The sequence below is a fragment of the Homo sapiens genome, chromosome 17 (genome assembly GCF_000001405.40).
Source record: "Homo sapiens chromosome 17, GRCh38.p14 Primary Assembly".
Lineage (NCBI taxonomy): Eukaryota > Metazoa > Chordata > Mammalia > Primates > Hominidae > Homo > Homo sapiens.
In genome coordinates this window covers 22,430,095-22,441,671 of record NC_000017.11, presented here as the reverse complement: position 1 = coordinate 22,441,671, position 11,577 = coordinate 22,430,095, and the positions used below count along the sequence as shown (strand labels likewise).

Here is an 11,577-nt window from a genome sequence, read left to right as displayed (position 1 = left end):
TAAATATATTTTTATATTTTTATATATTTGTAAGCATATTTTAGCTCAAAAATAGCAAAAGTATACATAGCTTATAGCACAGTTTGGGAAATGCTGATGTATATGGTAATAATGCATTGTTTGAGATGATTTAAAATTATATTAGGATATTAGGAGCCCAATATAGTGATCCAAATTGAGATCCTCTTGTCTAGTATCCTTTAAAATGACAAAACATCAAATCTAGAAAATAGATAAGAAGTGAATTTTAAGATAAAGGTACAACAGATTTTCTATTTTTACAAAAATCATTAGTGATTTTCAAAAATATATTCTAGAATTCAAGCTGTTAATTTAAAAAGTGCATATTTAATAATAAAGTGAACAAAACTGGCTGTTAGAAAAAACACTTCATCTTGCTGTCTCCAAATCTTGCAGCTTTTCGAAGTTTCAGAATTTTGTAAAATATTTTGAATAGCCCAGACTTTCTGAAAATGGGTGTAGCCTTTCAAAGTATTAGAATTGAGAAGCTTTTAAATGCTAATCTTATTTTATAAAGTGTTGACTTTTCACTGTAGACTAATAGCAAACAGTTTGTAAAGAAACGTAAATAAAAAATGTAAATAAATAAAATAGGCTTATTAGTTTTCAAAAAAATTTATTTAAAAGGAAGGGGCAATGTAGATTGGAGTAAGGAAGTATGTGAAAATGTATTTTGTGAAAGAAATCAACTCACGCACACACACACAAATGCACACACACACACACACACACACACACGCCTCAAAAGCAAAACTCCAACAATGCAGCTGTTGTTCCTTTGCAGCAATATTTATCTCACCTTGAGTGAGTGAGGACCATGCTGCTTGGAAGCGTAATAACTTAAACACCTTGCCTATGTCTAGTGATTAAAAACTAAGCTCTACTCAGCTCATGTAATGCCCCTGACCTCCACCAGAGAGAAATTCTAGGTTATTCCTTGTGGGCAAATGTGTCCATGGATCAGCGGATCAGGGACTGCTGAATCAGATGTGTGTCCCTCTCTACATGTCATGGTTTGTAGAGATCAAAATTTTCCCTGAAAACACACAGGTTTGTGAAGCCAGGTGGTCAGCCAGTTTCTGAGGCCTAATAGGGAGGCCAGAATCCTGCTCCCAGGACAGGGCTGGGTTGGGGATGTCTGTGGTGATATCATCTCCAGCCATAAGCTCCAGGGCAATGCTGTCTGCGATGAGGGTCTGGGGCATCCTGAGCTCCTGGAGAAAGCTGGATGCAGTTAAGAGCTCTATGAAGATTGTATGTGGTGGCAACGCTGTTGGGGTACCCCATGGGTAGCCTAGAGAAGAAGTACTGTGTCCCACTGCAGATGAAGGTGAATTAAGGCAGAGAGGCTATTGAAATAGGCACTGAACAGAACATGATAGCCGAATCTATAATAGCAAAATATTTACCAGTTGTAGTCCCAGGTACTCAGGAGGCTGAGGTGGAAGCATCACTTGAGCCTGAGAGGTGGAGGCTGCAGTGAGCCGTGATCATGCCACTGCACTTCAGCCTGGGAGACAGAGAAACACCCAAACTCAAAAAAAAATTACTACATATTTATACATACAAAATTGCACACACACTCACACACATACATACACACAGACTCACATAAAAGTAAAATAAATACATTGTATCCATCACCTACACCACTACATTTGAAGCCGTCTTCATGGTTGGCCCTTTGGAAATGTAACCATTTGCCTCCCCATCTAGGACAATCATTCATCTGAAGCTTTACAAAACATATTATTTCCCTGACTTTTATACTTTTATTACATAATAACATCTCTAAATAATATATTGTTTATCTAAATAATATAGTGTTTAACTTTGTAAGTTTTTACACTTTCTATAAATGTGCTATGTATCTCTGTAACTTGCATTACTCATTCCACATTGTATTTTCGAGAGCCTTCTATGTTTTAGCTTCTTGTTCAATTCTATGTATTGCTTACTAATTAGCCTTTAAATTGAATATACTAAGACCTACCCGAGAAGGAATTCTTGTGGGATAATGAGTATACAGTGCTTAAAGCAGTGCCCCATTCATTATAGGTATTCAATATTATATATGTAATACTATATACAATATTTTAATACTGAGTAATTATATACATATTATGGTTGCTCCTTTCTTTGTGGATGTACATTATTTCATCAACTGCACTATGAACTAATAGTTTTCTTTTGGGGGAGGGGGCAGGGTCTGGCACTGTTGCCCAGGTTGAAGTACAGGGATGCAATCATGGCTCACTGCAGCCTGGACCTCCCGGGCTCAAGGATCCTCCCACCCCAGCCTCCTGAGTAGCTGTGTCAAACGGCAGTGCCACCACTCCCAGCTAATTTTTAAATTTTTTGTAGAGATGGGGTTTCACCATGTTGCCCAGGCTGGTCTCTAACTCCTAGCTCAAGCAATCTGCCCACCTCAATCTCCCAAAGTGCTGGGATTACCTGTGTGAGCCAGTATGCCTGGCAAGAGTTTTCAAACTACGGTAAAATTCAAGTTACAGAGACCTTTGGGAAATGCCTCATTCTAGGTATTTGAAGCTTCCAGATAGCTAAGATTAAAAATTCTTATGTACTAACTTGTTTCTAAGTGTATGCTTTTACATTTAAACAAACTAAAAACATGAGCTTTATTAAAAAAATTCAGCCATTTCCAAATTCTCTTCCAAACTTGTTTAGAAACATACATGACAGAGCTTTGATCAGATTGTGCAAACTGCTGTGTGTTCTGTTTTTAAAATATTACTTAACTTGTACACTTCCACACATTGGCATTGCACATCATTGCCATTTCCAATACGTTCCTGTGCTTCACCAATTTCCATAGCTGTCAGAGGGAGAGCAGCCCAGGTGACAGGAAATGAAGTTGTCTGGCTCCGAGTCCTTACCAGGAGGACTTCTGAGATCCAGAGTCTTTGCATGGGGCAGATGACATATTCTGAGAGGACATTCCTTTTTTCCACTGTAGCTGCTAGTTCCAGTTTCCACTCCACTGCCTGAGGGCAGGTTGATCTTGAAAGCCCTCACCCATGGATTTGTGGTCACACCTGGAACCCTGTGCCAAAAAGGACTGGGAGGTCCCGTTCAGGAGGGAATCCTCTGACTTATTACTGGCATCTGAGCATTCCCCATCATGGCTGTTCCTGTTTGTAATAAGGTGATGTCAAATGACTCCAGGGCAGTGCTCCGGTTCCCATGAACACATCTGGTCACTCTGGGAGCTTCTGAGTTAGTGAGCTCTCTCCTTACATCCTGATACACTGTTGCTTGAAAAAATATATTTTTATAGGCAAGGTATTTGTGTTTTGGATTTGCACCCTGACATAGGCATTAATTTGTTTAAAAGGATAATCTGACATTTTCAGGAAGCTGAACATCTTTAAATTCTCTTTCGATTATTTCTAGTTTTATTGCATTATGACCCAGAAATGTGTACAATTTTTGTTCTTGTATATTCACTAAGGATTCTTTTTGTTTTCAGAGTAGGACCAAAGGTATTTCTATTCATTTGCAAGTCTGTTGGCTCAGTTTCTAAAGAGTTCATTTTGCTGCCATGTTCTTTTGAGTATATACATACAGGTTAGTTATGTTTCCAGTTTCCTGTGCTTTTTATTTTTTTTAAATGAACTTTTCTGGCCCTTCATTCTCTCAGACTTTTCCTTCCATGCCTTATGCTGTAGATAGAGTCTATGATCTAATGCCTGTCAGTTAAGATTGTTTTCAGCTCTGGAGACCGGAAAATCTGACCCACATAGCAAGAACAAGCAAGGGTAGGAGATGAGGCTTAAGAGGCAGGCACCAGGTTGTCTGAACTTTTATTCTACTGCAATGAGTAGACAGTGGCAGGGTTTACACAGGGGTGGGGGTATGCTTATATCATGTTTTAACATTTTCAAGAGATCACTCTGGATGCTTGAGTGGAGGCTGGACTGCAGGAGGGCAAGATAGGATGCAGGGAGGTTGGAGGATTTTTGGCAGTAGGAGGATTTTTGGCAGTAGACCAGTAGGAGAGGAAGATGACTGAAACTGGTTGTGGAAATGGAGATGGTGAATCAGGTTGCTGGTTGCACTCAAGAGCCACAGGACTTGCTGTATGGTTGCATGGGGGTTGGGGGCGAAGGGAAAAGAGTCAGGGAAGACTCTTGGTGCTCCCCTCAGGGAAGAGGCCCCAAGCCTAGTGGTTATCAACAGATGGATGGTATTTAAAGCTATGAGACTATGTGGGATCATTCTGAGAGGATCACTAGAGATCTGGTAGAGGAGGAGCAGGAGGATGAAGAAAAAGGTGAGAGGGAATCCAGGACGGAAGGTCTTTAAAATCCAGAAGAAAGAGTTTCAAGGAGGAACTCCTTAATTGTATCATCTGTGTCAAATGCAGCTAAATGACTGAGATAAAAGTCGTTTCAGCAAAGTACCCTGGAGAAAAGCTAGAAAGGAGTGGGTTCAAGAGAGGACATGAGGTGAGGTAGTTGCATGGAGCAGAGAAACAGAATGGTAAATGGAGAGAAATCTGGGGTCAAAGAAGGTCTATTTGTTTAACGCACAGCATTAAGGAATGCTTGTGTGTGGACACTAGCAAAATATCAGTACAGAGAACCCCAGAATTCTGGGGTCATAGCCCGAAAGGACTCCTCAGCTCCAAATTTACTTGAAGTTACAGCTTCCATCTTTAAATTAAATGGGATTCTTTTGCCATCTATTTCATCATACAGGATGTGACACAGAATATATCCAAAATTATTACTTTCCTGGGAGAACACATCTTAGTTTTTAATATCTAAACTGTATAGCAGCTATTTATCTCACAAAACATTTTTCAGGCTAGGTGCGGTCGGTGACTCACGTCTGTAATTCCAGCACTTTAGGAGGCCAAGTCAGGAAAATTGCTTGAGTCTAGAAGTTCAAGACCAGCCTCGGCAATGTGGGGAGATGTAATTTCTACAAAAAATTTAGAAATTAACAGGCATGGTGGCACACACCTGTGGTCTCAGCTTCTGGGGAGGCTGAAGCAGGTGGATCGCTGGAGCCCCTATCATGGTGCAGTTCAGGCAAAAGAGCAAGAACCTGTCTCAAATTTTTCGGCTGATGGTTGTAGAGATAATGTTTGAGCTTTCAAAAATTACAACATTTTAAACTAAATACTTTGCTGGAAAAGCCACATGTTGCTTCCAGAAACAACTGGTAGACCATCAGGATCATGACGGTCACTTCAAAAAGCTTTGGTGTGTTGACAAAGGAGAGGTTCACGTGTGATGTTGCTGGTCTCAAGCCAAAGCTACTGCATCCAAGGCAACTGCATGTTAACAACCATATCAAATGTGGGTGACCACGTGGTAACATTTAAGCATTTTACCTGCTAACTTACGTGCAACTTAAACCTACTGCCACACTGTGAATTAGGAAATTGGTAGGTTTTTTTCTATTGACTTGCTGTGCCCTATAATGTTTCCTATTTAAAATAATGGGAAACAGGTTCTCAGTTTTTTTCTCAGAGAAAGTCTGACATTTCAGGCACAGATATGTCTGACAGTTATTACCAGGAGAAGAGTTTCCAGCCTTTTCATCATAAAATTTTAATTACTTATCCTGGAAATTACTTAACTTTGTTCCTTCCAAATCTGGTAGTAAAATGGGTGCTCCAGAAAGATGTAGCGCGGATATTCTGCTGTTTTGCTCATCCCTGCACAGACCTGGGGCTTGAGGAGCCTGCAGCCACGAAGTACGGGGACTTTATCAGAATGGAAAAGTGACCCAGGTGGTCCCGCAGGTGCAGGGCTGGGGTGCAGAAGTGCAGCCTGAGCACGGCTGGTGGGAGGCCCGCGAGCTCGCCGGGGCTCGGGCCTGTGTTCTTGTGGCCCAGAGGCCCCCACAGGACAAGGAGGCCCCGACCCAGACTATTGGAGCCAGCAAAGGGGGTGAAGCCCCAAGGGGCGTAAGGGTCCTCACATGTGCAGGCCGAGCTTCCCGTCTGCATGGCGAGGGGCTGGGCCTTTCCGTCCTGATTTTTCTCCCATTATGCCGGGCGCGTAGCGGGCCCTGGGGCGGCGGGGCCGGTGGGGGCGTTGAGCCAGCCCGGGGTCCTGGAGGCTGGCGGGGGGATTCGCAGCAGCCAGAGGGACGGCGGGACGGCGCAAAGGAGTCTCTACTTCCAGGTTCCCAGTGATCACTATGTTCATTACAAGCAGTAAACTGACGACTTCAGACACCGGCCACGGAGATCCTCGCACATTCCTCCAACAGCCAGCCCCGCCTGCCGGGAGCACCGCGCATGCCTCAGGGGGCGGGACGGGGCGGAGGGGACGAGGCAGGGAGGAGGGGAGGGGTCGAGGCGGGGCAGAGGTGACGAAGCCGAGCGGGGCGGGGTGGAGGGGACGGGGCGGGGCGGAGGGGGAAGGGGTGCGGCTGGGGCGGGTCGGAGGGGGCGGGATGAGGCGGGGCAGGGGGGGGGGTGGTGTCGGGGCGGGGCTTGGCGGGGCCGGACCCGCCCAGCGCTGAATACAAATCGTATCTAAGCCATTTTCTAGCTCTGATATCGTATACATCACTGCATACGTGAATAGCATGCAAAATACTGTATAAACCAATATTGATTTTTTTTCTTCTCAGGAGGTACTATATAAATAAAGTACGTACATCGTATCTAATATCAGAACATTCAAATCCCATGTTGAAAAGATTATAAATTGACCATAATCCTATAATTCTATTTAGCAACAGTGCATTCCTTCTCGGTCTTCACTTTTAAAATATCTAAGAGGCTCGATGTCTTGAGGCTTTTTCTTTTTAAGCCCAACATCCTTTTTCACATTTATTAGTTTAGTACTTTGGTTTTACTCAATAAAAAGTTGGGGTTAAAAAAATCTGAAGTATTCTGCAGTGTTTCAGGCAACAGAGGCTGGAAACAGCAGTGTTAAGACGGGGGGACAATTCTTATACTCTGTTAGTCTTCTTGTTTAATTTTCATTAAATTTCCAGAATAATAAGTGTAGGATAGCTAAAGTTTGTCTTTGCATCGTAGATTAGTTAACCTTTACTGAATTCACAATGTGGCATCAGAGATTTAATCTGCATTTCCTAATTCTTATAAATTAAAGCTGAAGTTTAAGCTTCATTTGCACATCAGAAATACCACTTGCCCACTTGCCCTGAATAAATAATGTTTTTGAAGTGAGCATTCCTGATCTCCCTGTTTGTTAAGAATTGCTTTCTTTTTTCAGCTGCTACTCTGCTAAGATAGAGTTAGCCCCTGAGCTATGTTATCAGTTCAAGGCTTTGCAGATAGCACTGTATTGTGGGGGAAAAATAAACATGGTTTTCAAAAAGGAGAAGAACATTTCTATAATGTGTTGAGATTTTTAGTAATCAGGACTATTGATGTCAGATGGCTGTTGGGACAAATGACATCATAAAAAATACAAAATTTAAAATTATGTTGGTTTATGTTTGTTTGTTTTTAGATTTCTTAGTAGTAAAGGGGTTGTGTTTTCACTCAGGCTTATATGATGATGACATTTCTCAGACCAGCAGCTATCTGCTAGCATTCTGTCCTGGACTTGGAGTGCATCTGTGACAGTAGCTGGGCCTGTCATCCAGTGAATAGCTCATAGATGACTCCTCTCCATCAGTGTAAGCATGGGTGTGGGTGACTGCATGGTAGAGGGGTCTGGGGTAGCCAGGGGCCAGAGGTTAGTGAACCAATGGGTAAGATGTATAACTGTTACTCAGGCTCATAATTTTTCAAATTTTTCAGATAATAATAACAAGAAAGTCCATCCTTACCAGTCTCTGTTTTAAGTAATATTCATATATTACCTCATATAATTATCACACCAACCCTATGAAAAACTGAGGCTCAGAATGTAAATAGGCTATTGAGGTCACATTGCTGGTGGATCTTAATCTCAGGCCAGCTTGGCTCCTAAGTGTGTGTTCTCACTCTATTGCCTCTGGAACAGGAAGGAATATATGGATACTGTAAATTGTTAAAGAACAAGTTGAAATAATTTTATTTCCGGCAACATGGGCTGACAAGGACCAGAAAACAACAAAAATTTCTGGAATACATATCAAGAACCATTTTAAAAAAATGTATCAATGAGGTGCAAAATAATTAAGAGTTCACAAAGGCAAAAAAAATTAAAATTAAAAAGTGAAAGTAGAAACCCAAAGAAGTAATTAGATGCCATTTTTCACCCTTAAGATAGTTGCCAAGTGTCATACTGAAACTTGCTTTTCATAGTCTGGGATGATGATAGGGCAGCAGAATAGCAGACAAAGTTTAGATCCTGTCCAAGGTAGGAGGATTAGGAGAAGACATCAAAAAGTAGGACACCTCAAGAGATTGAGACTATCTTGGCCAACATAGTGAAACCCCGTCTCTACTAAAAATACAAAAAATTAGCCAAGTGTGGTAGTGGGCGTCTGTAGTCCCAGCTACTCAGGAGGCTGAGGCAGGAGAATGGCGTGTGAACCCGGGAGGCGGAGCTTGCAGTGAGCCGAGATCGCACCACTGCACTCCAGCCTGGGCGACAGAGCAAGACTCCGTCTCAAAAAAAAAAAAAAAAAAAAAAAGGACACCAAAAAGATAGGTTTAGTGTAGGAGGGAACTATGAATCAACCTGTCTGCCTCCCCTGTCTCCTGCCACCTCTATCCCCTGCAGCCCCTGGAACAGTAGACAAAATTGTCCATCCTGAGGGAAAACATCTCGCCCGAGAGTGAGGATACATTAATACATAACCATGGGCAGCCCTTTCACTGGTGGCTTCACACACAAGCTGTATAATCCTAAAAAGTCTCAAGCTGCAAATTTAAAGTGACATCAGGTTTTTAATGCCTTCCAGGTGCCTGGCAAAAGCAAAATGGAAGACAGCTTCATGGAATGTAAGTTTTTATTCAAAAATTACAAACATGTATAATGTGCAAGAGCCAGCAGGAACAATGTACAGAGGAAAAAACCTACAGAGACTTAAGATATTAGAGTCACCAAACATCACATAAAGTGTGTCTTACACGTAAAGAAACAAGGGGATTAAAGAGCATGAGTATGAAAATAATCAAGTAGATTGGGAAAAATTACCAAATAGAAATCTAGATTTGAAAAATACCATAATTGAAATGGAAAGTTTAATGGATTAGTGTCACAGCCAACTAGATACTACCAAAAAGAGAATAACGGATATGAAGAAATAAATACATTTTTAGACTTGTAAAGACTTAAGACTTTCTTACCTGGAGACCTGCACTACAAGAAAAATTAAAGGATGTCTTTTAGGCAGTAAAAGTAAGAAGGATACCATATTGAAATCTAGATCTGCACAAAGGAATGAAGAGCACCAGAAATAGTAACAACATGGACAAATATATGATTTGTTATTATTACTTAAACCTCTTTAAAATATTATTGTTTAAACAAAAATAATAAATTACTATGGAATTTATGACATGTAAAATAAAATGGATGACAGTCATAGCTTAAAGACTAGGAGGGAAGAAGTATACGATGTAGGTTTCTTATACTAAAGTGATATATTATCACTTGAAGGTAGACTGTGATCAGTGGAAGACATGCACTATAAATCCATAAGCAACCACTAAAATAACAAGCCAAAGAATTGTAGCTGCTCAGGAAAAAACAAACAATCTCATCAAAAAGTGGGCTAAGGACATGAATAGACAATTCTCAAAAGAAGATATACTAATGGCCAACAAACATATAAAAAATACTCAACCTCGCTAATTATCAGGGAAATGCACATCAAAACCACAACATGATACAACCTTAATCTTGCAAGAATGACCATAATAAAAAGATCAAAAAATTAAAATAGATGTTGGTGTGGATGTGGTGAAAAGGGAACACTTTTACACTGTTGGTGGGAATGTAAACAAATACAACCACTATGGAAAACAGGGTGGGGGGTTCCTTAAAGAACTAAAAGTAGATCTACCACTTGATCCAGCAATCCCACTTCTGGTTATCTACCCAGAGGAAAAGAAATCATTACATGAAAAAGATACTTGCACATGCATGTTTATAGCAGCACCATTCACAATTGCAAAAATAAGGAACCAGCCCAAATGCTCATCGATCAACGAGTGAATAAAGAAAATGTGATATATATGTGTATATGTATGTATGTGTGTATATATGTGCGTGTATATATATATACATATATACATGTATATATATATACATGTATATATGTATATATATATACACAACATACATGCCATGGAATACTACTTAACCCTAAAAAGGAACGAAATAATGGCATTTACAGCAACCTGGATGGAATTGGAGACCATTATTCCAAATGAAGTAACTTGGAAATGGAAAACCAAACATTGTATATTGTTACTTGTAAGTGGGAGCTAAGCTATGAGGATGCAAAGGCATAAGAATGATACAATGGACTTTGGGGACTTGGGGGAAAGGGTGGGAGGGGGTCGAGGGATAAAAGACTACACATTGGGTACAGTGTACACTGCTCTGGTGATGGATGCATAAAAATCTCAGATATTGCCACTAAAAAACTTATATACAAAACACTGCCTGTTCCCCACAAAAACCTATTGAAATAAAAATAAAGAAGGGTAAAGAGGAACCAGAAAAAGAAACTGAAAAGCAACCAGTAAAGGAGAGTATGATGTTCACAAAGCCAAAGGAAAACATTATTTCAAGAAAATGGTGGCCAACTTTATCAAATGCTGCTGAAAGTTGACATAAAATGGGACCTGATAAACAGCCATTGGATTTAGTAAAGTGGCTAGCCCTGATGACCTCACAAGAGTCCTTTGGGTGAAGTGATAAGGAGAAAGCTTGACCAAAAGGGATTTCTGAGAGAACAAAGTAGAGGGGTTGAATGCAGTAAGCACAGGCAACAATTTCAAGAAGCTTCACTCAAAAAAAGGAATGGAGAAAAGGCAAGTAATTATAGAGGAAGTAGAGTCAAGATCGTTGTGTTTAATGTTCTATAAGAAGAGAAAAAATAACAGCATGTTTGCATGCCAATGGAAATCATCCACAGAGAGGGCAAAATTGATAATGTAGGACATACAAGGAAGTATTTCTGGAATAATGTCCTTGGATTGGAAGTTAGGAAAAAGAAATATTGACTTTAGATGATAGATCATTCCATTCATCCATAGTAAGTGGGATATGAGTATATGAGCACAAACACAAGTAGATGGATAGATGTGTTCATGCCAACTCTTAAGGTTGCTTTCATGAAATAAAGGCAACATAGTACTTTTTCTCCACTTAAAAATTTACAATAGTTAATAATGTCTTATAGAATTATGTGGAATTCTTGAAATATTCAGTGATTAAAAGATTATTTACTGAAGCATGCGTTCTGCCACATATTTTTCTAGGCATTGGAGGTAAACCAGAGACAAGATTCATACTTTTGGAAAGTGGGGACAAACAGATGTATATCACAGGGCACATAGCAAAGCCAGCTTTCATAGGGAAGTGAGGAGTCAAGTTCAGAGAGAGTGGGCCCCGGGTCCACCATTCTTTCAATATCTACAGAACTGGGGTTGTA

At 40.5% G+C, this 11,577-nt stretch overlaps 1 long non-coding RNA gene across 1 annotated transcript; it reads right to left on the bottom strand.

Annotated features, from left to right (window-relative positions):
* Positions 1-620: 620 nt before the first annotated feature.
* On the bottom strand, positions 621-1,531 carry LOC124903954 (uncharacterized). The gene is made up of 2 exons (XR_007065672.1): positions 1,431-1,531; positions 621-1,339 (listed from the first exon to the last, which is right to left on the bottom strand). It is a non-coding gene; the product is annotated as an uncharacterized LOC124903954 (long non-coding RNA).
* Positions 1,532-11,577: the final 10,046 nt, after the last annotated feature.